At 41.8% G+C, this 27,369-nt stretch overlaps 2 protein-coding genes and 1 long non-coding RNA gene across 4 annotated transcripts in view, besides 10 other annotated features; 1 reads left to right on the top strand and 2 right to left on the bottom strand.

The window, feature by feature from the left end:
• Nucleotides 1-943, bottom strand: part of ARF4-AS1 (ARF4 antisense RNA 1) — a 3,128-nt gene extending 2,185 nt beyond the window's left edge. For both annotated transcript variants that reach the window (NR_132369.1, NR_132370.1), the window contains exon 1: nt 681-943. This is a non-coding gene — a long non-coding RNA (ARF4 antisense RNA 1). The remainder of the gene's footprint in view (nt 1-680) is intronic.
• PDE12 (phosphodiesterase 12) overlaps nt 1-27,369 on the bottom strand; it is a 100,222-nt gene that overhangs the window by 57,764 nt on the left and 15,089 nt on the right. The window lies entirely within an intron of this gene.
• Nucleotides 365-1,070: an enhancer, noted in NCBI's record as "H3K27ac hESC enhancer chr3:57583389-57584094 (GRCh37/hg19 assembly coordinates)". NCBI's record gives its function as "activates a minimal SCP1, AML or CMV promoter by ChIP-STARR-seq in primed H9 embryonic stem cells {active_cell/tissue: H9 hESC(primed)}" and the evidence as "EXISTENCE:reporter gene assay evidence [ECO:0000049][PMID:30033119]".
• Nucleotides 365-1,914: a biological region, named in NCBI's record as "MED14-independent group 3 enhancer GRCh37_chr3:57582608-57583807".
• Nucleotides 585-1,144: an enhancer, noted in NCBI's record as "active region_19994". NCBI's record gives its function as "activates an Ori minimal core promoter by ATAC-STARR-seq in GM12878 lymphoblastoid cells {active_cell/tissue: GM12878}" and the evidence as "EXISTENCE:reporter gene assay evidence [ECO:0000049][PMID:35858748]".
• Nucleotides 652-1,851: an enhancer, noted in NCBI's record as "MED14-independent group 3 enhancer chr3:57582608-57583807 (GRCh37/hg19 assembly coordinates)". NCBI's record gives its function as "activates an origin of replication core promoter dependent on BRD2, BRD4, P300/CBP and CDK7 cofactors, and independent of MED14, by STARR-seq in HCT116 cells {active_cell/tissue: HCT116}" and the evidence as "EXISTENCE:reporter gene assay evidence [ECO:0000049][PMID:35650434]".
• Nucleotides 1,071-1,776: an enhancer, noted in NCBI's record as "NANOG-H3K27ac-H3K4me1 hESC enhancer chr3:57582683-57583388 (GRCh37/hg19 assembly coordinates)". NCBI's record gives its function as "activates a minimal SCP1, AML or CMV promoter by ChIP-STARR-seq in primed H9 embryonic stem cells {active_cell/tissue: H9 hESC(primed)}" and the evidence as "EXISTENCE:reporter gene assay evidence [ECO:0000049][PMID:30033119]".
• Nucleotides 1,165-1,414: an enhancer, noted in NCBI's record as "active region_19993". NCBI's record gives its function as "activates an Ori minimal core promoter by ATAC-STARR-seq in GM12878 lymphoblastoid cells {active_cell/tissue: GM12878}" and the evidence as "EXISTENCE:reporter gene assay evidence [ECO:0000049][PMID:35858748]".
• ARF4 (ARF GTPase 4) lies at nt 1,388-27,369 on the top strand. The gene is made up of 6 exons (NM_001660.4): nt 1,388-1,658; nt 14,268-14,348; nt 14,725-14,834; nt 21,345-21,416; nt 23,059-23,184; nt 26,434-27,369. The coding sequence occupies exons 1-6, from the start codon at nt 1,592-1,594 to the stop codon at nt 26,518-26,520; spliced, it is 543 nt and encodes a 180-aa protein (NP_001651.1). The 5' UTR covers nt 1,388-1,591; the 3' UTR covers nt 26,521-27,369.
• Nucleotides 1,425-1,494: an enhancer, noted in NCBI's record as "active region_19992". NCBI's record gives its function as "activates an Ori minimal core promoter by ATAC-STARR-seq in GM12878 lymphoblastoid cells {active_cell/tissue: GM12878}" and the evidence as "EXISTENCE:reporter gene assay evidence [ECO:0000049][PMID:35858748]".
• Nucleotides 1,685-1,734: an enhancer, noted in NCBI's record as "active region_19991". NCBI's record gives its function as "activates an Ori minimal core promoter by ATAC-STARR-seq in GM12878 lymphoblastoid cells {active_cell/tissue: GM12878}" and the evidence as "EXISTENCE:reporter gene assay evidence [ECO:0000049][PMID:35858748]".
• Nucleotides 1,765-1,914: an enhancer, noted in NCBI's record as "active region_19990". NCBI's record gives its function as "activates an Ori minimal core promoter by ATAC-STARR-seq in GM12878 lymphoblastoid cells {active_cell/tissue: GM12878}" and the evidence as "EXISTENCE:reporter gene assay evidence [ECO:0000049][PMID:35858748]".
• Nucleotides 1,935-1,984: an enhancer, noted in NCBI's record as "active region_19989". NCBI's record gives its function as "activates an Ori minimal core promoter by ATAC-STARR-seq in GM12878 lymphoblastoid cells {active_cell/tissue: GM12878}" and the evidence as "EXISTENCE:reporter gene assay evidence [ECO:0000049][PMID:35858748]".

The following is a 27,369-nucleotide window of genomic DNA, read 5'->3' as shown; positions in this document are numbered from 1 at the left end:
TCCGCTCACTGCAACCTCCGCCTCCCGGGTTCACGCCATTCTTCTGCCTCAGCCTCCGGAGTAGCTGGGAGTATAGGCACCCGCCACCACGCCCGGTTAATTTATTCTATTTTTAGTAGAGACTGGGTTTCACCGTGTTAGCCAGGATGGTCTCGATCTCCTGACCTCGTAATCTGCCCGCCTCGGCCTCCCAAAGTGCTGGGATTACAGGCATGAGCCACTATGCCCGGCCAGAAGTTTTTGCTTTTAATTGCCCAGGGCCACTCCTAAGAAATAACAGTCTCTGAAGGGTAGATAAGGTAGTGCTACCAAGAGAAGCGTTACTCAGCAAGCCTTCAAAAATATAAAAATAACTTACTGTTTCTGAAAGTTTGCAAGTTTTTCTTATTCAACCCCATCCTATGGAAATATACCAGTTGGAATAAGCAACTACAGAACCACATAGGACGGCACTACTAGAAAAATAGATTAAATCTTTATCCTGGCAATGAGTCTAATACATTTATCATTGCTGTGAATTTTAAAAGGTGTAGCAGGCCGGGCGCGGTGAGTCACCGCGCCAGGCCCGATCATAAACACTTTTAAAGTGAAGAGGCTTTCCGCTTCCTCAACATAAGGAGTAAATCTTTAATGCTGCTTCTAGGAAAAAAAGTACAAGAAAAGCAAGACTTCCTCCTTGCCTTCTCTTTAAAAAGCAACAGCCGATGAACACGTGTTGGAGCGCTCTCGCCTTGACAGAATTAGAGATCTTCAGAATCACTTGGCGTGGTGGTCGAAGCGTCTAGCCCTAGCTCATTAGGGTGCCACAGTTTCTCGGCCCACAAGTCAGCTTTTAACCACTTTTCTCCGCAAAAGACCGGACCGGTCTTCATGCGTCAACTAAAGCAAGCGTCTGGTCCCGTGTGTGAAACGTGTAAGTTCATGGCATCAGGGAATACCCATCGCGCGTACCGTAATAGAAGAGGGCGAGGTTCCTCACCTAACCCATAATGCTCAGCTCGCCTTTCCGGAAGCAAGGACTATCACCCCGACAATACCTTCATCCGGGCGGAAGCGTCTCACCCTGAGTCTGATTTGGCAGTGACGAAGCGAGGTATTGTGGGACTTTGTCCGTCTCCCAGTACGCATGTGCCTCAGCCGGCCTCTCCCGGCTCCTGGGGCCACGTCCGGGCGGTGGCGCCGTCGAGAGATGCTCGTCAGCGAAACTGGCCAATCCCCTGCAGGCGCAAGCGCAGTGGCTCGGGCGCACCGGAAGCGCAGGGGGATGGGGCGGCGGTGACGCGATTCTGTCCGCGTTGGAGGGGCCGGGCCGCTGCTGGAGTCGCCGCGGCCGCCGCGTGACGTGGCACAGCCAGAGCCTAAAGGCTAGAGCCGGAGCTGCCGCGCCAGTCGCCTAGCAGGTCCTCTACCGGCTTATTCCTGTGCCGGATCTTCATCGGCACAGGGGCCACTGAGACGTTTCTGCCTCCCTCTTTCTTCCTCCGCTCTTTCTCTTCCCTCTCGTTTAGTTTGCCTGGGAGCTTGAAAGGAGAAAGCACGGGGTCGCCCCAAACCCCTTCTGCTTCTGCCCATCACAAGTGCCACTACCGCCATGGGCCTCACTATCTCCTCCCTCTTCTCCCGACTATTTGGCAAGAAGCAGATGCGCATTTTGATGGGTGAGTGAGGGGCTGCGAGTCAGGCGGGACCTGGGAAAGGCAGGGTCTCCACAATTGGGGTGGCCTCTGGGCCTGTTTTTTTCCTCCGCCCGCTGTGGTGGGGGAGGGGCGCCGGGTCGGGGGTCGGAAGGAATTCTTAAGGGGGAACAATGGAGCGGAGGGTGAGCGATCCCCCCCGCCCCCGATCTGTCGCCAGACGAGACAGGGACAGGGCTTCGGGCAAGATTTCTTTCTGGACTCGGCTTTTTCTCCTTGATCTTATTGAAAGCTGGACAACATTGGGCAGAGATGTGGGGAAAGCCAACTCTGGGAAGCAAACACTTGGCGAGGCCCTTTCTGGGGGTGCGATCTGCATACCTTCTTGCCCGGGTGTGGACAGCGGTCAGGAGGGAGGCAGAGCAACTCCAGCCTTTTCCCTCCCCTTCTGCGTTTCGTGTACAGTCCCTGCATACTCCATTGGTATGTAAGCCAGCGGCCACCCGGAGCCTGGAGCCGCCCGGGGCAGGAAGTTGCGGTGGCCAGGGAGCACCCAAGGTTTCCGAAGAGTCTGGAGTCCTTCAGCGCTCACTTTGCTAAACTTGGCCTTGCGCTGGATTCCGTTTCAAGTTTTTCGCTCCTTGTTAATCTCATTCTCCGAAAACTGAGCTTATCTTCTATTTCTTTGACTATTTTCAAAAACTTTAAATGTGTTTGGTTTATTCTCCTAGGTTTTTAAGCTTATTTTTAGGCGGTCTAAGGTCTAATGCAAAAAAATTTTAGAAACGAATTTTTAAAAAATACCTGATAAATTTTCAAGTAACTGAACATCATGACGCTGAATTTTATGGTAGTCTTGTTAAATAGTAACTACAATTTTTTTAAAATTTCTTTTTAGAAAGTTGACTTTTTAAAAACTACTTTTTAGGGGGCGTGTTTTTGCTCAGCTGAGGGAGAAGGGCTGTCAGTTGGCTGAAGTAAGCAACCGCTCCCGGTTACTGTAAGCAGTCTACATCACAGCTGAGCTCCATGGACTAGAATAACGCTGAAAGAAGCCCCTCTAACTTTGAACGTTGAAACTTGTTGGTTCATTAGCTTGTTTTCTACCGGAGGAGGTTTTATTTTTCTCTTCCTTTTTTTTTTTTGCAGACGGAGTTTTGCTCTTGTCACCCAGGCTGGAGTGCAGTGGCGCAATCTCGGCTCACTGCAACCTCCACCTCCCGGGTTCAAGAGATTCTCCTGCCTCAGCCTCCCGAGTAGCTGGGATTACAGGCATGCAACACCACGCCTGGCTAATTTTTTGTATTATTAGTAGAGACGGGGGTTTCACCACGTTGGCCAGTCTGGTCTCGAACTCCTCACCTCAGGTGATCCACCCACCCAGGCTTCCCAGAGTGCTGGGATTACAGGCGTGAGCCACCGCGCCCGGCCGGAGGTTTTATTTTAGAGCTGTACTACCATCAAAACTTGCAAACACAAGCTTCTGTAATATTTCAAGGTATATAAAGAGTAACAGTATATACATTGGCTCATGTTTATTTTCCTCTTAGCGTACTTACACTTTGTGAATCAATTGTTTATGAGTCATTCATAAAGTATTTTTTCTTTCAAAGTTTCTTAGATTTCCTTTGTCAAGAGGACAGAATTATTTTAGGAGGGCAAGCATATTTAAGTTTTCAGTGGCTGAAAGTTGGCAGTCTGAAAAAGGATCGGAAGTTAATGGGAGGACTTCGGACTGTGATAAATGAATTTCCAGTCTGTTCGTTAAAGAGATTTAACAATATATGGTTATGTTCCAGAACACATAGTATATTGGTCTTTTTACTTAAGATTTATTGTAAATGAATTGCTATTTTTCAATTCCTTAGTCTTTTGTGATTGATGAAAGTATCAGAGGGGCAAGGAATATAGAAGTATGCTACCAGCATTTTCATATATTTACTATATTGGGAGGCATTTCCCTCCACCCCAAAAAATGATTCGAAGAAAATGGGAGAGAAAAAATATTTAAGTTTCTGCATTTGTGTGGAGGATTTAGGAGTTACTTGTTTTTAATGTTTTATTACTCAGGCATGCTATCGTTTTGCACTTTAATTTTGGGATAATCAGTTTTCCTTGACTAAAAAACACTTCAGTCACAAGATCGACATTTATGGTAACTCATCAAAGGAAGTATCAACGTACGAGGGAGATATGTGCATGAACAGGGAAAAAGGTGGTTTGGAAGTTTGATAATTCTTACATTTTTCTGTCTGGCTTTATGAGTGACTGACAGCAAAAATAATAGATCACTTTTAAAGTGTCTGCCCCATTCAACTGTTGGAATTATTAATGTTTTACATTAGTGTGCTTCGTTTTTCTTTATAAAGCTTAGATAAGATTCATGCCCTCCTGAGTCAGTGTTTTATTCAGACTTTACCATTTTAAAGTATAAAGGAGATAGCAGTTAGCTGATGTGTCAGGTTTGCCAAACTACTATGGAGAAGTTTTAAATTTAATTCGTACACCTGCTGTTCTTCAAAAGTTCAAGTAACTTTAAAAGATATTGGAAGTTAGCTTGTAGTTAACTGTAATTAAAAAACCAACACAGTGTATCAAATTTAACATCATCTGAACTATTGATTGACAGAAATTATGTACTAGTTATAAGGGTAAGTTATGCAAGTGATGATATTGCCCATACTGCTCGAGTTAGGAAGCAATAGCTTCTGGCCAGGTGTGGTGGCTCACGCCTATTATCCCAGCACTTTGGGAGGCCAGGTTGGGAGGATCACATTGAGGCCAGCCTGGTCAACATAGCAAGACCCCGTATCTATTTGAAAAAAATAAAAATAAAGCAATAGCGTCTGTATTTTATTTTGTTTATTTTTTTTGAGATGGAGTTTCACTCTTGTCTCCCAGGCCAGAGTGCAATGGCATGATCTAGGCTCACTGCAACCTCTGCCTCCTCAGTAGCTGGGATTACAAGCGCCCGCCACCAAGCCCAGCTAATGTTTGTATTTTTAGTAGAGACGGGGTTTCACCATGTTGGCCAGGCTAGTCTCGAACTCCTGACCTCAGGTGATCCACCTGCCTTGGCCTCCCAAAGTGCTAGGATTACAAGCATGAGCCATCACACCCAGCCAGCTTCTGTATTTTGTATATATTTTTTAAATAATTATGTTTTTTTTCCTTTTGAGTAGCTGAGACAACAAGGACATGCCATTAGACCTGCCTGGCTAATTTTTGACATTTTTTGTAGCAAGAAGGTCTCACTATCTTGCCTGTTCTTGGGCTGAAGCGATCCCGCCCACCTCGGCCTCGAAAAGTGCTAGGGTTACAGGGCGAGCCACTGAGCCTGGCTGCATTGTCCTATTTTAAGTCTGGTTTCTGTATCTTGATCCATGATAAGATGTAATGTTGTTAAGTGAATCCTTAAATTATGTATATATCCAAAAATACTAATGTGTTCTGCAGAGGAATTACTAATTCTGATCTCTTTACTTTGAACTTTCCAGTTCTTGCCTGTTGAAAAGCTGAAAAAGTGTTACTTTTAAAAAGTTTGCTGATATCAGTGTAGTGTAGTATGCCAGTGTAGTTCTGTATTGTCTTGAATGTGACTGTGGTTTTGGGGGTCTAGAGATGTTCAGGAGAAAGGATCCTATATTTGTCACTTTAAAAAATATTACCAAGCTAAAGAGTGGTGTTTTATATTTGTTTCTTAGCATATTTTGTAAATCCATCTATTTATGTAATTTTTTTATGTTTTTCCTCTTGATTCTAAAAGTAGTATGTGTTCCTTCTGTTACATTTAGAAAACAGGTAAAAGAATAAAGTGATAATTACCTATCTGTAATTCCACTATTCTGTCATATTTACTCTCAGCCTTATTTTTATTTTTATTTTTTGAGACAGGGTTTTGCTCTGTCACCCATACTCTGGGGCACATACAGGTGGCATGATCATAGCTCACTGTAGCCTTGAACTCCTGGATTCAAGCAATCCCTCCTGCCTTAGGCTCTGGAGTAGCTAGGACTACAGGCGCCACTATGCCCGGCTAATTTTTAAATTATTTTGTAGAGAATGGGGGTCTTGCTCTGTTGCCCAGCTGATCTCAAACTCCTGGGCTCAAGAGGTCCTCCTGCCTCGACCTCCCAAAGTGCTAGGATGACAGGTGTAAGCCACCACACCTGGTACACGCTCAGCCTTTTAAGAGGAAGTTTTTGTTCCTCTAAAATTGTAGTTGTGATGTTTAGTTTTGTGTCCTCTCTTTTTGATTTAGCTTATTACAAGCATTTTCTCAGGTTATTGGTTGAACATATAACTGCCAGCCTTTAAAAAAACAGGCTCTTCTGATTATGTGAATATAGGAAACAGAAAAGGCAAAAATCCTGTTTCATGCCACTGGCTGATAGGTACAGCCATCCTTAGATGCACCCTTTTGCATTATTATAGTAGTGCAATAGGCTGTCGGAAACTTTGATAATTTGCTGCTAATTAACTGATAAAAATGTAGATGTTTCTCATCCGTGTGTAGAAGCAGAACCTAAGTTCACATTTTTCCGTATAACTGGTGGCCTGAGTTTCAGTTTGGTTGGTCAAGCATCTGATGAATTTGATAAAAAATATTTGAGATGGAGTCTCACTGTGTCACCCAGGCTCGAGTACAGTGGTGCAATCTCAGGTCACTGCAACCTCCGCCTCCTGGGTTCAAGCAATCCTTCTGCCTCAGTCTCTCCAGTAGCTGGGATTACAGGCCCCCTCCCACCATGCCCGGCTAATTTTCATATTTGTAGTAGAGAGGGTTTCACCATATTGGTCAAGCTGGTCTCAAACTCCTGACCTCAGGTGATCCACCTGCCTCATTCTCCCAAAGTGCTGCGATTACAGGCATGAGTCACCGTGCCTGGCCAAAATATTAAGATACAGTATGTCCACCAGAAAAACCTAAAGGCAGGATGGCAGCATGTAAATAGTATTTGAGGTCTCTGGCATCAGAACTAGGTTTTTTGGTTTTGGCTTTTTAGAAAATTTTTTAATAAAAAAATCAAGATATAATACATAGACCATAAAGTTTACCCTGTTAAAGTGTACAGTTCCGTGGGTTTTAGTATATGTATTCAAAGTTGTGTAACCATCACCATTGTCTAATTCCAGAATTTTTCATCATCCCTCAAAGAAACCTGATACCCATTAGTAATAATTCCCATTCCCCTTTCTTCCCAGCCCGTAATCTGTTTTCTGTTTCTATGGGTTAATCTATTCCGGACACTTCATTTAATGGAATCATGATTTATGGCCTCTTTGTCTGGCTTTTTTCACTTGGCATGATGTTGTCAAAGTTCATTCATAATGGCCGGGCGCGGTGGCTCACGCCTGTAATCCCAGCACTTTGGGAGGCTGAGGCGGGCAGATCACGAGGTCAGGAGTTCGAGACCAGCCTGGACAACATAGTGAAACCCCATCTATACTCAAAATACAAAAATTAGCCGGGTGTGGTGGCAGATACCTGTAGTCCCAGCAACTCAGGAGGCCGAGGCACGAGAATCCCTTGAACCCGGGAGGTGGAGGTTGCAGTGAGCTGAGATCGTGCCATTGCACTCCAGCCTAGGTGACAGAGTGAGACTCTGTCTCAAAAAAAAAAAAAGAAAAGAAAAGAGAAGAAAAAAGTTCATTCATATTATAGCGTATATTAGTACTTCATTCTTTTTTTTTTCCTTTTCATTAAATTCACATAAGCACCTCATTTCTTTTGATGGCCAAATAGTAATTACATTGTATGGATAAACCACATTTTATTTATCCATTCATCAGATGATAAAAATTAGGTTGTTTTCACTTTCTAGCTCTTCAACATTCATGAACAAGTTTTTGTGTGGGCATGTGTTTTAAATTCTCTGATAAATACTTAGGAGCGGAATTGTGTCATGGTAACCGTCTTGAACATTTTGAGGACCTGACAAACATTTCCATTTTACATCCTCGTTTACATCCCCACTAGCAATATATGAGGGTTCTAATTTTTCTGCAAGACTCAGGTTTTTAAATATCTGTTCTTCTGTTTCTGTGACTGTGGGGGACATTTCTGGACATTAAATGTCTCATCTGAAAAATGAAAGGTTATTGTGAGAATTAAAGTCCAAAAATGTATAGAATCACCTACTATGCTTAGAATGCAGTAAATATTCAATTTTAAATTATTATTTTAAACTATTACGCAGCCTGGGCACCATACCATGGCAAGACCTCATCTCTACAAAAAAATTTTAAAAATTAGCTGGGCATGGTGGCGTGCCCCTGTAGACCCAGCTACTAGGGAGGCTGAGGTGGGAGGATTGCTGGAGCCCAGGAGTTTGAGGCTACAGTGAGCCATGTTTGCACCACTGCACTCCAGGCTGGGTGACAGATCGAGACCCTGTCTCAAAAAACAAATGTATATATATGTACACACACACACTTATAATTATGAAGGTATATTTCAAACTTGTAGATAATTTGAAAGATAAAGGAAAACATGAAAAATCTTTTTATCCATCTGAAAATACTCTTTTGTCTTTCCAGTCTTACTCCTTTCTGCAATATTTTTTTCTCCCTCAAAGTTGAGATCATTGGATCTAACTTTTTTCTTTTTTTGAGACGGAGTCTTGCTTTGTTGCCTAGGCTAGAGTGCAGTGGCGCAATCTCGGCTCACTACAGACTCCGCCTCCCGGGTTCAAGCGATTCTCCTGCCTCAGCCTCCCAAGTAGCTGGGATTACAGGCACCCGCCACTGCGCCCGGCTAATTTTTGTATTTTTTAGTAGAGACAGGGTTTCACCATCTTGGCCAGGCTGGTCTCAAACTCCTGACCTCATGATCCATCCACCTCAGCCTCCCAAAGTGCTGGGATTACAGGTGTGAGCCACTGCACCCGGCCTCAATTTTTCATCACTAATTATGATACTAGCTGTAGGTTTTTTATAGATGTTCTTTTTTTGTTTTTTGTTTTATTTATTTATTTATTTATTTATTTATTTATTTATTTATTTATTGAGACAGAGTCTTGGTCTGTTGCCCAGGCTGGAGTGCAGTGGCATGATCTCGACTCACTGCGCCTCCACCTCCCGGGTTCAAGCAATTCTCCTGCCTCAGCCTCCCGAGTAGCTGGGATTACAGGCGCCCGCCACCATGCCTGGCTAATTTTTGTATTTTTAGTAGAGATGGGGTTTCACCATGTTGGCCAGGCTGGTTTCAAACTCCTGGCCTCATGATCCACCCTCCTCGGCCTCCTAAAGTGCTGGGATTTCAGGTGTGAGCCACCGTGCCCGGCTGGATCTAACTTTTTAAATTTAAAATGTAAGTATTTCTTGCTGCCATAATTATGGGCAAAGGTTTGTTTTTTTGGGTTTTTTGTTTGTTTTTTTGAGACGGAGTCTCGCTTTGTTGCCCAGGCTGGAGTGCCGTGGCGCGGTATGGGCTCACTGTAACCTCCACCTCCCGGGTTCAAGCGATTCTCCTGCCTCAGCCTCCCAAGTAGCTGGGTTTACAGGCGCCAGCCACCACGCCTAGCTAATTTTTGTATTTTTAGTAGAGACTGGGTTTCACCACGTTGGCCAGGCTGGTCGCGAACTGCTGACCTCGTGATCCACCCACTTCAGCCTCCCAAAGTGCTGGGATTACAGGTGTGAGCCACGGGGCCCGGCCTTGTTTGTTTGAGACAGGATCTTGCTCTGTTGCTTACGCTGAATTGCAGTGGTGTGATCATGGCTCGCTGCAGCCTTGATCCCCTGGGCTCAAGGGATCCTCCTGCCTCAGCCTCCCACGTAGCTGGGAATATAGATGGGCACCACCCTGCCTAATTTTTGTTTGTTTTGAGACAGGGTCTCAATTCTGTTGCCCAGGCTGAAGCACAGTGGTGCGATCACAGCTCACTGCAGCCTTGACCTCCTGGGGTCAAGTGATCCTCCCATCTCAGCCTCACCCAGTAGCTGGGACTACAGGCATGTGCCATCACAACCGGCTAATTTTTTTTTTTTTTTGAGACGGAGTTTTGCTCCTGTTGCCCAGGTTGGAGTGTAATGGCGCGATCTCAGCTCACTGCGACCTCCGCCTCTCAGGTTCAAGCAATTCTCCTGCCTCAGCCTCCCGAGTAGCTGGGATTACAGGCATGTGCCACTACACCCAGCTAATTTTGTATTTTTAGTAGAGACGGGCTTTCTCCATGTTGGTCAGGCTGGTCTCTAATTCCTGACTTCAGGTGATCCACCTGCCTTGGCTTCCCAAAGTGCTGGGATTACAGGTGTGAGCCACTGTGCCTCACTCACACCTGGCTAATTTTTGTATTTTTTGTAGTGACAGGGTTTTGCCATGTTGTCCAGGCTGGTCACAAACTCCTGAGCTCAGGTCATCCACCTGCCTCAGCCTCCCAACATGCTGGGATTACAGGTGTGAGTAGAGACGGGCTTTCTCCATGTTGGTCAGGCTGGTCTCTGACTCCTGACTTCAGGTGATCCACCCGCCTTGGCTTCCCAAAGTGCTGGGATTACAGGTGTGAGCCACTGTGCCCCACTCACACCTGGCTAATTTTTGTATTTTTTGTAGTGACAGGGTTTTGCCATGTTGTCCAGGCTGGTCACAAACTCCTGAGCTCAGGTCATCCACCTGCCTCAGCCTCCCAACATGCTGGGATTACAGGTGTGAGCCACCATGCACAGCTTCCCAGCTAATTTACTTTTTCTTCTTTAAAGATGGATCTCGCTATGTTGACCAGGCTGGTTTCAAACTCCTGGGCTCAAGCGATCCGCCTGCCTCAGCCTCCCAAAGTGCTAGGATTACAGGTGTGAGTGACTGCCTGGCCAGCAAAGATTTCTGAGGTAGTTTTCCTGCTATAGTAACACTTTGGTCAAAGTGCAGGTCTAGTTAAGGAGAACAAGTATTCCAGTACATCTTTAAATACAGTTGCTTGTTTCTGGACACGGAGGGGAGGGAGACCATTGCTGGGCTATACAGATTAGTCTTATCTTGGCTAGTTGAAAATTGGTAATAGTTTTCATTTTGTGGAGAAATTTCATTGCCAAATATTGCAACATTAAGGAAATACATAAGAAATGACTGAAGTGGCTCAAAATTGTTGGACCAATATGTTTTTGAGTAAAGAACTATAAGTTTTAAGTGATGACTGTATATGTTTAATTCGTGCATTAAAGCTTATAAATACCTTTTTCAAAAACTCTTAATTTGCATTTATACAGCATTGTTATTTTTGATACAACTGCATAAGATACATTCTGTGTTGCTGTGAGCCATTAAACTGTTGTCTTGTAATTTATATTTAGAAAATAATTTGTGGATACTTAAAAGTCATTATGGGCGCATTATTTTTTCCCCTTGAATTCTGGGGTGACCTAGAAATGGTTGCATGATTTTGTAAACACTTCCCTTTTTAAAAAAGTAAAATGAGTATGTAAAATATTATATATTTAAAGCCCTCAAGCAGTCGTCTTCAAAAAGATACATCAGGAAATGTAAACAGCCCAACATTTTAATTAAAAAAAATCTGCTTGGACAATTTTTTTTCTCTTTTCATAAAAGTAATACATGATTTTTGGGTAAAAAAAAATTCCTATCAGTAGAGGAGCAAGGAAAATAATTATTCATACAGTATTCATACAAGCACATATAAAACCTATTAAAAGAAAACTTGGATTACCTACATGCTTTTGTATAATTTAAAATGATATAGTCATGATTTGTCTTGGATTTCTTCAATTCTTTTCTTTGTCAGTATTTTTGGATTTACTTTTTTTTTTTTTTTTTTTTTTTGAGACTGAGTTCCGCTCTTGTTGTCCAGGCTGTAGTGCAATGGCACGATCTCGGCTCACTGCAACATCCGCCTCCTGGGTTCAAGCGAGTCTCCTGCCTCAGCCTCCAGAGTATCTGGGATTATAGGCATATGCCACCACATCCAGCTAGTTTCTGTATTTTTAGTAGAGACGGGATTTTACCATGTTGGCCAGGCTGGTCTCAAACTCCTGGCCTCAGGTGATTCGCCCACCTCAGCCTCCCAAAGTACTGTGATTACAGGCATGAGCCACAGCGCCAGGCCTTACCTTGTTTTTAAATGACAATCTGAGGTCCAGTTGGACCTCCGGTGATAACTGGCAGGTACCATAGTTTTGTGTGTGTGCGTGTGTGTGTGTGTTTCTTAATCAGCGTCTCAGTTTCAATTCTGACTTGGCTTAATCATATTTGAACTTAAAGGTTAATTTTGGTTAACTTAAAAATCTGATGCTTTCAAGAGACAGCTTTGTTGGACCATTTAAAGATCCAGTTGTTTTTTGCCACCCCCCTTTGTTTTATATCTTGTTACTAAAGATGCCAAACTTTAATGTAGCTCCTTTTTATGTATTTTTTAGAATTATGTTTTCTGATTTTTTTGATAATGTTCCATGCTCAAAAAATAAAACACTTGTATAACAGTTGGTTTTTATTATTATGCTCATGAATGAGGGCTTGATGTGGGCTGATCACACTGACTAGTAGTTGGGAAGGAATAAACCTGTATCCGAGTACGAAGTGGGGAACAGGGTTTTACAGGACAAAGGAATAAAAGGCTTGAGTCTCCAAAAAGAACTTAAAGTTATTCTTGGTAGGGTACAGAGTAGAAAGGGTTGTTAAGAGGGTAGAAGGAATCAGAATTGCCTGTAGCCTTCGCTTCTGTTTTGGACTAACTGATAAAAGATAGACTTACTTGCATAGGAATGTAAATTAGATAAGTGAGATAATTTCAGCTCTTTTTTAACTTACTAGCATTGCTTTTATGTGCTAAGTCATGCTTTGATTTAAATATTAAGAAAGTGTCCTTGCTTAAATCAATACTTGATTGAATCGATACAAAAATCTGTGATAAGATAAACCCAGGCGGCCAGATATGATATCCTAAGAACAATGATAGATTCAATGAGGTTATTAGATGTTGATCTTTCATTTATGAGGGCTTTAGCAAACACTGCAGAATATTCAGGTTTTGAGAGATTCATACTTACAAGCATTTAATTTGTTCTTCACTGTCACCCTACAAGGAGGTATAGCCTCTTGTTCTAGTGTGGATTTTTTTTCACAAGCAAACACATTCCTCCCTACTTGTACTTCTGCCTCAACTGAATCATTTTAAGAATTTAGGCCGGACACAGTGGTTCACATCTGTAATCACAGCACTTTGAGAGGCTGAGGCGGGCAGATCACCCGAGGTCAGGAGTTCAAGACCAGCCTGGCCAACATGGTGAAACCCCGTCTCTACTAAAAATACAAATTAGCTGGGGTGTGGTGGCACGCACCTGTAATCCCAGTTACTCCGGAAGCTGAGGTAGGAGAATCGCTTGAACCTGGGAGATGGAGGTTGCAGTGAGCTGATATTGCACCATTGCACTTCAGCCTGGGTGACAGAGTGATACTCTGTCTCAAAAAAAAAAAAAAAGAATTTAGATATTACTTATATTGTAGATGAATGTGATAGGGTCTTTTATTATTATACTTTAAGTTCTAGGGTACATGTGCACAATGTGCAGGTTTGTTACATATGTATACATGTGCCATGTTGGTGTGCTGCACCCATTAACTCGTTGTTTACATTAGGTAATGTGATAGGGCCATTTTTATAACAGGTTAATCAGACTTTGGTTTTCATTTTGGCACATTTAATGTTGAAATGGATTTAAGCAGGGGTAAAATTGGCTTCATCTTCCTTTATTATCATTATAAGGTCACTAGGACATAGTTACATTAAGTTCATTAGAACATAGTTATACCACTAGGACATACTTATACCAGTGTATTTTTTACCCCTTAGCATCAAAATCTGTTACCCAAATTTTACTCTGTAAATAAGAGAAAATATTTTTACAAATCTTAAGAATTCTTTATTCACTTACATGTTGTCTGAATCAACTTCTAATTTGTGTTTTTAAAAATGGTAGTATGGCTGGGCACGGTGGCTCACGCTTGTAATCCCAGCACATTGGCAGGCCCAGGCTGGCAGATCACTTGAGGCCAGGAGTTTGAGACCAGCCTGGCCAACATGGTGAAACCCCGTCTCTACTAAAAATACAAAAATTAGCCGGGCGTGGTGGTGGGCGCCTGTAGTCCCAGCTACTTGGGAGGCTGAGGCAGGAGAATTGCTCGAACCCGGGAGGTGGAGGTTACAGTGAGCTGAGATCATGCCACTTCACTCCCGCCTGGACAACAGAGCGAGAATACGTCCCCCCGCTCCCCTGCCCCTCCACCCCCCAAAAAATGCTGGTAGTTCATAGAATTTAATTGGAAGAGATCTTAGATGATCTGATCCAGTCCCTTTATTTATGGCTAATTTCTCTGGTCTCAGTGTCCTAAAGTCACTCAACTAGTTTGTCGCAAAGCTAGAGATTAGAGCCTAAGTCAGCTACATACTTGTTACCTTTTACTAGTACATGCTGTCTCTCTTGGTCTAGAAAGCAGAATGGAAAGGCTTTCTGTAGGAAGTGTTGCCTTTGGGAATCAGAAATAAGGTCATTTCATTTCTAACTCATTTAGAAGTTGTCTTGAACAGTCAACTTCTAGTTTTGAACTATAAATTTATTGTAAAATTATTTCTTGGAGTGTGCTTTTGGTCTGGATTTTAAATCTATAATGTCTTCTTCTAGTTGGATTGGATGCTGCTGGCAAGACAACCATTCTGTATAAACTGAAGTTAGGGGAGATAGTCACCACCATTCCTACCATTGGTAAGAAAGTTTACAGATGACTTTATATCATGATATGTTGTAAAGTGAAATATATACAGTCTAGTTTTGAGATTGTCTTTTTGTTAAGCATGTTGATTATCTTAGAAGTACTTTTAAAACAGGCCGGGTGTGGTGGCTCATGCCTGTAATCCCAGCACTTTGGGAGGCCGAGGCGGGTGGATTGCTTGAGCCCAGGAGTTCAAGACCAGCCTGCATAACATAATGAGGCCTTGTCTCTGTTGATGTTTAGGCTTAAATATATTTTTTAAAAATAAAAAGAAGTACTTTAAAAACACTATTCTAAGAAAATTCCACAATAAAAGGTTTTATTTTCTTAATGACGCTGCACAGCGGTCATTTTTGTTTTTCTTTGTAGGTTTTAATGTGGAAACAGTAGAATATAAGAACATTTGTTTCACAGTATGGGATGTTGGTGGTCAAGATAGAATTAGGCCTCTCTGGAAGCATTACTTCCAGAATACCCAGGTAAGGGATACTGTATGTTTTTATAACTTTTCTTTGTGGGTTTCATGCTCTAAAGTTTTTATTAGTATCTAGTATTTACTTGGATATTGGTGTTTACTATGAGTTGGCATTTGTCTTATCACCACTTCCACATTCTTCAGTGGACTCTCACTTAGGCCTTGAAGGCTAACTTATATAGGGTGGAAGAGTTGTAAAGCAATTGCGGTAAGTGTTTGGAAGATGGGGTGGGTGCTGGTGTAGTTCACAAGAATGAATTAGGTCTCTTATCCGTAGTTCTTTGCTTTCCATCTTAGTTTAGAAAGTAAGGTCTGTATAAACTGTCATTGTAGTTTCTGATGAATGTAAGACAATTGATAGTCCTTTGTTTAGCCCAGTTACTTGTTTACTTTATTAAATACAGTAAAGTCAGTTCGCTGCATTGATTTGTAAGATATTTTTATATTGCCACATAGTATGTATATATAATACTGGCATGGAAGAGACTTTAGTGATCCTGTAGAACAGGAGTTCTCAAATTTGGGGGTGGCACGTAAGAATCACATGGGGACCTTTGAAAATCCCAAGACCTGGATCATCCCCTAGATGACTTGAATCAGAATATCAGGGGATATAATCCAGGTACAGTAGTGTTTCTTAAACTTTAATATGCATATCAATCACCTGGGTATTTGTTAAAAATACACATTGAGTCCATAGGTCCTAGCTAAGGCCTGAGATTCTGTATTTCTAGCAAGTTCTCGGGTTGTGCTGATACTACTGGTCTGGTATCTTACAGCACAGCACTATTGACATTTTGGGCTGGGTTATTCTTTGTTGTTGGGTATGGGGAGGGCTCTCTATGCATTGTAGGTTGTTTAGTGGCATCCTTGTCCTCTACCCACTAGATGGCAATAGCAGCTGCCCTCAAGTAGCAGCCAAAAATCTCTCCACACCTGCAAAATATCCCCTGGGGGCAAAATTGCTCCCTGCTGAGAACCACTGTTCTAATCTAACTCTCTTACATATGAGGAAACTGAAACTTGGAATGACTTACCCAAGATGGGAGAGTTTGTTCTCACTCTACCTTTGTTTAACCTGGTCCCACCTCGATTGTGTTTTCTACCACCCAAGGAATTTCTTGTCAGTTTTTTTTTATTACTTAATAATTTTTTTTAAGTGTGATATCACTGCCACTTTATATTTTTAAGACTTGCAATGTCATCTTGTTATCAGCCTCTTAAAACATTGCATACAAGTGGGGTTTATTGCCATCAGGTGGCAGTGAATACCCTAGGTGAGTGGCTGGGACAACCAGGTTTACATAGTATGTCATATTAAATAAGTGGTATACTTTTTTATTTAAAAACGAGAATGTTTAGGCCAGGCACGGTGGCTCATGCCTGTGATCCCAGCACTTTGGGAGGCTGAGGCGGGCGGATCACGAGGTCAGGAGTTCAAGACCAGCCTGACCAACACAGTGAAACCCCGTCTTTACTAAAAATACAAAAATTAGCCGGGCGTGGTGGCGCGCACCTGTGATCCCAGCTACTCAGGAGGCTGAGGCAGGAGAATCACTTGAACCCGGGAGGTGGAGGTTGTGATGAGCCGAGATCACACCATTGCACTCCAGCATGGGTGACAAAGCGAGACTCTGTCTCAAAAAAAAAAAAATAGTAGAATGTTTATGGTCATCAATATAGCTGTGACTAGAAAAGATACTTGATACAGAGGCACATGCTTTAAAAAGCTTCCTTATGGAAAATGTTAAATACAAGGTGAACATTCCTTATCCGAAATTCTTGGGACCAGAAACCACTGTTTCTGATCTCAGAATTTTGGGGGTTTTGGAATATTTGCATTGTACCCAGTTGAGCATTCTAAATCCAGAAATCCAAAATCCGATATACTCCAGGGAGTTTTTTCTTTGTTATGTTGGTGCTCGGGAAGTTTTGGATTTGGATTTTTGGATTAAGGAAACTCAATCTGTACACCTACAAATAGAATAGCATAATAAACTCACATGTATGTATTATGCAGCTTCAGTTACTAGGATATAAGCAGTGCTGTGTTGTTTCATACTCATCTCTAATGTGCTCTACCCTCTAGACAGTTTGTTTATTTTTTTTGAGATGGAGTTCTCGTCCTGTCACCCAGGCTATGGCGCAATCTTGGCTCACTGCAACCTCTGCCTCCTGGGTTCAAGCGATTCTCCTGCCTCAGCCTCCCAAGTAGCTGGGACTTCAGGCATGCGCCACCACACCTGGCTAATTTTGTATTTTTAGTAGAGACGGGGTTTCACCATGTTAGCCAGGCTGGTCTCGATCTCCTGACCTCATGTGATCCACCTGCCTGGGCTTCCCAAAGTGCTGGGATTACAGGCATGAGCTACTGCGCTTGGCCAATATATTTTGAAAGAGTTAGATATGAAGTAAAACCTTGCTAATCCTTAAGCCTAATAATTCTTGACCAAGGGTAACCCTGGGTTTATCCCTAGATTTGTTTAGAATGCTTTGTAATTTACTTTGCATTCTTAATTTGAAATTAGACCCAATTCTGGCCTCTTTGGACCATCTGAGAATTAAAAGTCTAAGTACTGCTTCCTAGGGAGTTCATGCTAGCTGGGGAAAGCTTTATGTGTTACCTGATAGAATCAAAGCTAAGCTCTTAGCTTGCATTCCCAGCATTACTGATCAGTTCTCCTAGCTATAAAATTTAAAAGAAACTATAGCTTTAACCATGTTTCTAACTTATACTAACAAACCATGGCACAGTGTGTAGTAAATTCCTCTTATAATTCCAACTAATTTGCCATTGTAAATAAGTAAATATTTGGCTTTTCAAATAATTTCATAGCAGCTGGGCTTATCTGTAGAATCCTAGCTTTTCTTCACTCTTGATTCTAGGCTGTTCCAGGAAGAAAATAATTAGGGATTAATACCTAAAATAATTCTCCTTCTCAATAATGTCACTTTGGGACTGATAGCATTATTTGCATTTTAAAACAAAGGCTGGGTGCAGTGGCTTATGCCTGTACTCTCAGCACTTTGGGAGGCTGAGGTGGGAGGATCGCTTGAGCTCAGGAGTTTGAGGCCAGCCTGGGGAACATAGTGAGACCCTGTCTTTACATTTAAAAAAAAAAAAAAAGAATAAAAATGGGAAGTTAGCAGTCAAAATAAAATTAGGTCCCTTTTAGGGGCATTACCTCTTGTAAAGGGTAGGTTTCAGGACCGGGTGCTATGGCTTATGCCTGAAACACCAACACTTTGGGAGGCCATGATACGAGGATCACTTGAGGCCAGTCCAGGCAACAGAGTGAAACCCTGTCTCTACAAAAAAAAATTAAAAAAAAATTACCTGGGCATGGTGGCATACTCCTGTAGTCCCAGCTACTTGAGAGGCTGAGGTGGGAGGATCACCTGAGCACAGGAGTTGGAGGCTGAAGTGAGCTACAGTTGCGCCTCTGTACTCCAGCCTGGGGGACAAAAGGAGACCTTGCCTCTTTTTTGAAAAAAAGAAGAAACAAAAAAATGGAAGGTTTGGTTCTAAAAAGGAGTAGCTTTTGAAATATGGAAAGGAGGAGACATATTTGCTAAATAAATGCCCATGATAAGCCAAGAACAATGATCTTTTATATCTCTGTGATTGCATTTAATCTTTAACAAGCTTATGAAGTTAGTATTTTTATTTTATTTAGACGAGGCATAGTCAAGGATTAGATAATATATATAACAAGTAGTATAAGATTTGAATTTGAGTCTGTCTTCCCACCACACTATATTGGCTCCCAAAGCATCAAACATTATTTTTTGTTTTTGAGATGGGGTCTCACTCTGTTACCCAGGCTAGAGTGCAGTGGCATGATCATGGCTCACTGTAGCTTCAGTCAACCTCCTGGGCTCATGTGATCCTCCCTTCTCAGCTTCCTAAGTAGCTAGGACTATAGACATGTGCCACCATGCCCTACTAAAATTTTAATTTTTTTCGTAGAGACAGGGTCTTACTCTGCCCAGGGTGATCTTGAACTCCTGACTTCATGTGATCCTCCCACCCCAGCCTCCCAAAGTGGTGGGATTAGAGGTGCCATGCCAGCCAAAAGTTTTCTCAAAGGATAGGATATTTAAAGTGATGGTTTTCCAGGTGGTATAGATGCAGTGTAAAATAAAATTTAAAAATTAAGTTATGGTTTCCAACAGAGATAAAGGAAATGGACTTACAATTTGCTAAAACAAAGGAAATTGTCATTTAATGGATGTAAAATAAGTGTTAGATGCTCCTGGAGAGCCCAGTACTGTGGTAATCCTGAGAGGTAAACAGAAAATGATGTAGGATGGGGCTGGGCGCGGTGGCTCACACCTGTAATCCCAGCACTTTGGGAGGCCAAAGCAGGCAGATCACCTGAGGTCAGGAGTTCAAGACTAACCTGGCCAACATAGTAAAATCTCATCTCTACTAAAAATACAAAAATTAGCCAGGTGTAATGGTGGGCGCCTGTAATCTCAGCTACTCAGGAGGCTGAGGCAGGAGAATTATTTGAAACTGGGAGGAGGGGTTTGCAGTGAGCTGAGATGGCACCACTGCACTCCAGCCTGGGTGAAAAAAAAGATATAGTATAGTCCTTTGCCCTTAGTGGATGTAATCTAGTTCCTTTTTTTTTTTTTTTTTTTTGAGATGTAGTTTGCTCTTGTCGCCCAGGCTGGAGTGCAATGGCGCCATCTCGGCTCACTGCAGCCTCCGCCTGCCAAGTAGCTGGGATTACAGGTGTGCCACCATGCCCGGCTAATTTTTGTATTTTTAGTAGAGATGGGGTTTCACCAGGCTGATCTCGAACTCCTGATCTCAGGTGATCCACCTGCCTCGGCCTCCCAGAATGCTGGGATTACAGGCGAAAGCCACCTCAACCAGCCTCGTTACTTACATAAATCAGTAGTGCAAGACAATCTGTTATAAGTGACATGATCAAAATTGATACTTTAGGAGTCAAGGTTTATCTTTTTTTCTTTTTTATTATTTTTATTTTTGCCCCCCCCCTTTTCTAGCTGAAAATTCTATACTTTCCCATTTGAAAGTTCTTAGAAAAACAGTTCAACTAGTTGCTTCCTAATTCCTTCCATTTATTTTGTAGTATAGAATTCTAATAATGGGCCAGGTGCCATGGCTCATGCCTGTAATCCCAACACTTTGGGAGGCCAAGATGGGTGGATCACTTGAGTCCAGGAGTTCGAGACCACATGGGCAACGTGGTGAAACCCCATCTCTACAAAAAATAGAAAAATTAGCTAGGTGTGGTGGCACGCACCTGTAGTCCCAGCTACTTGGGAGGCTGAGGCGGGAGGATCATTTGAGCCCAGGGGGTCAAGGCTGCAGTGAGCCAAGATTGTGCTACTGTGCTCCTAGGCAACAGAGTTGAGACCCTGTCTGAGAAAAGAAGCTAATATTTGTATCTCTAAGAATTGATAACTACCTTCCTTTTTTTAAAGAATGTCTTACTCGATCAGGTAAATCTTGAATTTTTCTTTCTTTTTTTTTTTAAGAGATAGGGTTTTGACATATTGTCCTGGCTGGTCTCAAACTGCTGGGCTCCAGTGATCCTCCTGCCTTGGCTTCCCATAGTGCTGGGATTACAGGAGTGAGCCACTGCGCCCAGTCTTGGATTTTTCTTGCTATCATTTTCTTAAGATGTCTTCCTGATCTAGAGTTGGCAGGCAGCATTCTGAAGCAAGTTAATTTTTTCCTTCCATGATGAAGCAGATAAAAACTGTAGTGTACACACTCGCGCTATCCCACCCCCCTTTTATTACTCTGTACATGCCTTTGAGTCAGTAAGCTAATTCAGTTAGTAAATTCATGGGGTTTTTTTGTTTGTTTTTTGAGATAGGGTCTCGCTCTGCCACCCAGGCTGCAGTGCAGTGGTGCGATTTCAGCTCCCTGCAACCTCCGTCTCGGGCTCGTGATTCCTCCCACCTCATCTCCCAAGTAGCTGGGACTAAAGGCATGCACCACCACACCTGGCTAATTTTTGTATTTTTTTGTAGAGATGACCTTTCGCCATGTTGCCCAGGCTGGTCTCAAACTCCTGAGTTCAAGCAATTTCAGGCCTGATCGTTTGCCTCAGCCTCCCAAAGTGCTGGGATTACAGGATGAGCCACCATGCCTGGCCAAATTCACGATTCTTTAGGATCCTTGATTTGTTATTTTTCTTTTTGTTCCTACTTTGTGGCTATTTTGGTACCTGCACTTAAATGTGAGAGTGCAGAGGGAAGGGGAAAAATAGATACAATTTATTCTTAGGGTAGTTGAGAAAAGTAATTAATTGGTGAAGAATAAAAATTTTTTAGATTTGAAATAGCACTAATAAATTAAACTTACAAATAGTTCTCAAATCAGCTTTTAGCATTACAGCCTTAAGTTCTTACTTTTAAAGAGACATTTTCTTCCTAATGTCTAACCATTGGTACCATTTTGCTGCCTACACTGTTTCATATAGAGAGTGTCGTTTAACTGTTAAAATTTACTGAAACAATTTTTCCCCAGGGTCTTATTTTTGTGGTAGATAGCAACGATCGTGAAAGAATTCAGGAAGTAGCAGATGAGCTGCAGAAAATGGTAAGAAATATACTTTAAATTCATCATTTTCAAGGTGTGCTTTTCTGGATTAAACTGGTGGTGGTTTAGTACATTTTGACTATGATTAGATTACACAAATGGATTGGGGGGGCTAGAAATAAACTTAAGAAACTATATTATCCACAGGTTCTTAATAATGTACTTCAAAATCTCTTATAGAGCGTTTTAAAAAACACATGGAAGAGTAGCTACTTCAGTAAGTTGGGAGGAAGGCAGAGCAGTGTTGTTTTTTTTTTTTTTAGAATGCCTCATGGGTAATCTTGATGCCTATCTCTGGCTGAGGATATCTGATTTAGCTCAGTCCCTTACTTTACAGATATCAAATCTATAGTGCTGTAGTGGTTTTGACCCTAGGAATCTTGGTTCAGATGTTTTGTTCCCAAGGTCATCGGTTCCATTTTCTCTATGCTGTGCCAATAATTACTTCAGAAATGTTTTTTAATAGTAACCATTTAAGGATAAGGAATTCCTTCTGAAAGTAGAGACAAATGTTTGGTTCACAGTGGCATTTTGCAGCCTTCCCATAGATTGGATTAATGTTTTCATGTGTTCATGTTGTTAAATGTACTAAATGGAGGAAGACTGCTGAGAATCCTTGTCATGATTTTAAACTTGTAGCCATAAAATATTTACTGAAATGAAATCTTAATTCTTGTTCATTCCTCCTAAGATTAGAGGGCAGTTTGTAAAACCATTGTGCCAGTATATGTGTAACTAAGTCATTGTTGGATTTTTGCCTGAGTCAAATGTCACCAGCTTTCCCTCTTCAAAAAAAAAAAAAAAAAAAAAAGCTTGGTTGAGACATACTTCACACACTATAAATGTCATCCTTTTTAAATGTGCATATCAATGGCTTTTAGCATACATAGTTGTACAACCATCATCACAATCTAATACTAGAAAATTTTCATCACCCTCAAAGAAATCTTGGACCATTAGCAGTCATTCCCATTTCCTTCCTCTCGTACACCACACTCCCAGCCTCTGACAGCCACTAATTTGTCTTTATACAGTCACCTATTCTGGACATTCATATAAATGAAAACATACAATGTGTTCTTTTGTGACTGATTTTTTCACTTAGCATAATTTTTCAGGGTTCGTCTATATTGCATCATGCATCAGTACAACTTCTGTTCTTGGTACTTTTTTTTTGTATATTTCATGATACTGCCAACACCCAGATAATTGTGTTATTGTCCCACTGTTGTTGGAAAGGATAGAAGTCCGAAAAGAATCATCATCTATCTAAGTACTTCTGCTACTAAGTACCATAAGAACCTGCCATAAACATTTTATTCCCACATGTATTTCTTGCCCTTATCAGTCCTGACAATGGGTAATCATGAAGGCTGAATGATGAGTGATTTGCTTTAATTTAATGGGGTGTAGGATGATTGACTTGGAAAACAGTTCTGTCTTATTTGAAGGCATATGATTGTTTGCTCTGGATTTAAAAACTGAAGGATATGAGACTTCAGTTGTAAGAGTGAACTTTGTGTCGAGAAATTAGGTTAATGTTTAATAATGTATTTAATGCTGAGTAAAGTATATATAGGAAGACATTTTCAAAAATTGGATTCCGGTTGGTAGTTGTTAATGCCTTACCTTTTATTTCCAGCTTCTGGTAGATGAATTGAGAGATGCAGTGCTGCTACTTTTTGCAAACAAACAGGATTTGCCAAATGCTATGGCCATCAGTGAAATGACAGATAAACTAGGGCTTCAGTCTCTTCGTAACAGAACAGTAAGTATTTGGAGGTTGATATTAACCTCTTGACTATTAAGACTTACTAGGATAGTTGTGTAAGCTAATATTCAGTTTAAACATTTATTATCTCCTTTGGACAAATAATGAGCACATCATTTATTTAAAAATATGGTAATAAACTTTAAATACCTTATTTGATTTTTGTAAAGAAACGGAAAACTACTGTAGAATAGGTCTAAAGATTATTGATAGTTTCTTTTTTCTTTTTTTTTTTTTTTGAAGGGAGAGGTGGAAGGAATGGAAAGAAGATTATTGATAGTCTTAATTTTAATTTTGTATCTTTTAAGTAACCCTACAGCAAATATTTTGAAATCTGGCTTTCTTATTAAGGGTCCAGTAATGTTTGTTTGCTTGTTTTAAAAGTGGAGATGGGGGGCTGGGTGCGGTGGCTCATGCCTGTAATCCCAACACTTTGGGAGGCCTAGGTGAGCAGATCATCTGAGGTCGGGAGTTTGAGACCAGCCGGACCAACCAGGGAGAAACCCTGTCTCTACTAAAAATACAAAATTAGCCAGGTGTGGTTGCGCATGCCTGTAATCCCAGCTACTCAGGAAGGCTGAGGCAGGAGAATCACTTGAACCCAGGAGGTGGAGGTTGCGGTGAGTCGCGATCGCGCCACTGCACTCCAGCCTGGGCAACAAGAGCGAAACTCGGTCTCAAAAAAAAAGTGGAGATGGGGGGTCTCGCTTTGTTGCTAGGCTGGTCTTGAACTCCTGGACTCAAGCAATCCTCTCACTATCTCAGCCTACCAAAGCGCTGGGATTCCAGCCATGGTGCCCAGCCTTGTTTGCTTGTTAACATAACAGTTTATGGAGGAGACCAGGTACCACGGCTCACACCCGTAATCCCAATACTTTGGGAACCCAAGGCAGGAGGATTGCTTGAGGCCAGGAGTTCCAAACCAGCCCGGGCAACAAAGTGAAACCCTATCTCTACAAAAATAAAAATTAGCTGGGTGTGGTGGCATGTGCCTTTAGTCCCAGCTACTTGGGAGGCTGAGGTGGGAGGACTGTTTGAACCCAGAAGTTGGAGGCTGCAGAGAGCTGTGATTGTGCCCATTGCACCCCAGCCTGGGTGACAGAGCAAGACTGTTTCTTTAAAAAAAAAAAAAAAAATTTGTACTTCTCTAAAATTGCTTATCATTGATCAGTGATTCAGTGATGGAGATAAATTATCAGAAACTTAGTGTCATAGGCTTTTTACAGTAGTTTTGCATTAACCTGTAAATAAGGGAAATACTGTGGCTGTGGTAAAAAATGAAACAAACAACAAAGAACCTATTGCAGGCCGGGTGCAGTGGCTCACGCCTGTAATCCCAGCACTTTAGGAGGCTGAGGTGGGTGGATCATGAGGTCAGGAATTCAAGACCAACATGGCCAAGATGATGAAACCCCATCTCTACTAAAAACTACAAAAAAATTAGGTGCAGTGGCAGGCATCTGCAAGCCCAGCTACTCTGGAGGCTGAGGCAGGAGAATCACTTGAACCCAGGCAGCAGAGGTTGCAGTGAGCCGAGATCACGCCACTGCACTCCAGCCTGGGTGACAGAGCGAGACTCCGTCTCAAAACAAACAAACAAACAAAAAAAAACAACCTATTGCCTGTTTGAGATATCTCAGGCTGATTTGAAGAACATAAACTGGGCCGGGTGTGGTGGCTCACACCTGTAATCCCAGCACTTTGGGAGGCGAAGGTGGGCGGATCACTTGAGACCAGGAGTTCGAGACCAGCCTGGGCAACATGGTAAAACTCTGTCTCTACTAAAATTACAAAAATTAGCTGGTCGTGGTGGTGCATGTGTGTAACCCCAGCTACTTGGGAGGCTGAAGGCACGAGAATCTCTTGAGCCTGTGAGGCGGAGGTTGTAGTGAGCCGAGATCACGCCACTGCACTCCAGTCTGGGCAAGAGTGAGTACTCTGCCTCAAAACAATCAGTCGATCAATCAATAAATAAGCAAGCAACACTAACTGTAAATGATACAAGTTTTCCATGCTGTGAAGGTATGAATTTGAGCCTTTCCCCAGCCTCCTAGGTTACTGAGATTTGGTATTCAAATAATTGGCAACATGGTATACCTGCAGTGGCCTTGCAACATTAAACTGGTCAAAAAAATTAATAAAAGTAAACTATGCCTTAAATGTAAATTGTTTTCTAGGTTTTTTTTGATACTTTCACACAGTTACTAGAGATAAGATTCGTTGCCATTTAAAAGCAAGAACGTTTTGGAATGCATGAGACTAAAGATGGTGAAATTGTCTGAAAAGCTTGCCCTTAAAATATCAACAAACCCTACTCTTTCTTTCTTTCTTTTTTTTTTTTTTGAGATGGAGTCTTGCTCTGTCACCCAGGCTGGAGTGCTGTGGCACGATCTCGGCTCACTGCAAGCTCTGCCTTCTGGGTTCATGCCATTCTCCTGCCTCAGCCTCCTGAGTAGCTGGGACTACAGGCGCCCACCACCACGCCCGGCTAATTTTTTGTATTTTTAGTAGAGACAGGGTTTCACTGCGTTAGCCAGGAAGGTCTCGATCTCCTGACCTCATGATCCATCCGCCTCAGCCTCCCAAAGTGCTGGGATTACAGGTGTGAGCCACCACGCCCGGCCTAACAAACCCTACTCTTTCAAAAATTTGCCTCTTCTACTTTGAGTTTAGTTTTATGGGAAACGAGAGTTATAAAAACCAGATGGGTAGTTTATTAGTTACTAATTTCCCCATGATTTCTTTTTTCAGATTAAGTGGTAGAAAGTTTACTAAAAGGGAACCAAAAACCAGCACTGAAAAGAAAGCTGAATGAGGGGGGAAAATCTTGTCTAAATATAATGAATAGGTAGAAGTAGCTTGATTGATTGAGACGGAGTCTCACTCTGTCGCCCAGGCTGGAGTGCAGTGGCACAGCCTCGGCTCACTGCAACCTCCAGAATAGGTAGAAGTGGCTTTATTTTTAAAAAATAATTTAATCTAAAAAAGTAGAGACAAAGTCTCACCATGTTACCCAGGCTGGTCTCGAACTACTAAGCTCAAGTGATCCTCCCATCTCCGCCTCCCAAAGTGCTGGGATTTATAGGTGTGAGCCACCACGCCCAGCCAGAAGTAGCTTTAAATATGGGAGAGTTTTGTGAGATGCAAGAGGTGTGAAAAGACTCTTAAGTTTGATTAAGAAAGTTTAAACACTGGTGTTATATATTAACTTTGTTAATCAAGTATTTTCTTGTCTTCTCTTTACAGTGGTATGTTCAAGCCACTTGTGCAACACAAGGAACTGGTCTGTATGAAGGACTTGACTGGCTGTCAAATGAGCTTTCAAAACGTTAAATGAAATTGGATATCTAACCAAGGACATGTTTGATAAAATTGGTCTAGGCTTGTTACAACAAAATTAGTTTGTATCTTGGTTATTAAACAGTATCTGGGACTGGTTTGGGCAGAATATTAAACTTATTTTGTTGCCAATTATTGTTTACCGAGTATAATGTTGCTATTTAGCAATGTGCTTGGTTTTAAAGAAATTCTCCTTGGGAAAAAAGTATCCTCTTTTAATTTTACTTCCCATAAGCGTAAATGCCTGGACATAGCTCTTGTGCAACCTTTAAATAAATTGTTTTGAGTGTTTTTTGAGCCCCAGACAAATAATGTTTTAAAGTTATCCCCTTGCTACTTTACTGATACCTTTATCATTCCTGAGACAGTTTGCTAATTTAAAAATGTAGCATTCCATTTGTATTTATTTCTCTCCCTTGCCAAAAAGATTTTCTAATACTGCTTGTACCAGCCAGAGAAAGATCCAAAACACTACTCAGCTCTCTTGCACTGAGGAAATTTTTCCCCCTACATTGACTCCTGGCCTACATCAGCCAAACTTAACCTTGGTGGGGTTTGGATTTGATAGCCAATTAGTTCTGTGCTGGTTGCAAAGAATTGATATTTAGATGGTTTTTAATACTCAGCAGATTGTCTTCCTTTATATTGTGTCTTTTTTATGTTGCATGTTGCTTTTGTTATCAGCCTGATTTTTTGCTCAGTATATGATAGTTCTGCTGATGTTTTGTTTATTGGGCAGACATATCTTCATTAAGAGTTTTTGGAAAACTCATCAAATTCGATGAATACATTTTCTTCATAACCCATTTGGAATTATTCCTAATAAAATGATAAAATACGTAA

This window comes from Homo sapiens, chromosome 3 (genome assembly GCF_000001405.40).
Source record: "Homo sapiens chromosome 3, GRCh38.p14 Primary Assembly".
Lineage (NCBI taxonomy): Eukaryota > Metazoa > Chordata > Mammalia > Primates > Hominidae > Homo > Homo sapiens.
This window is presented reverse-complemented; position numbering and strand designations above follow the sequence as displayed.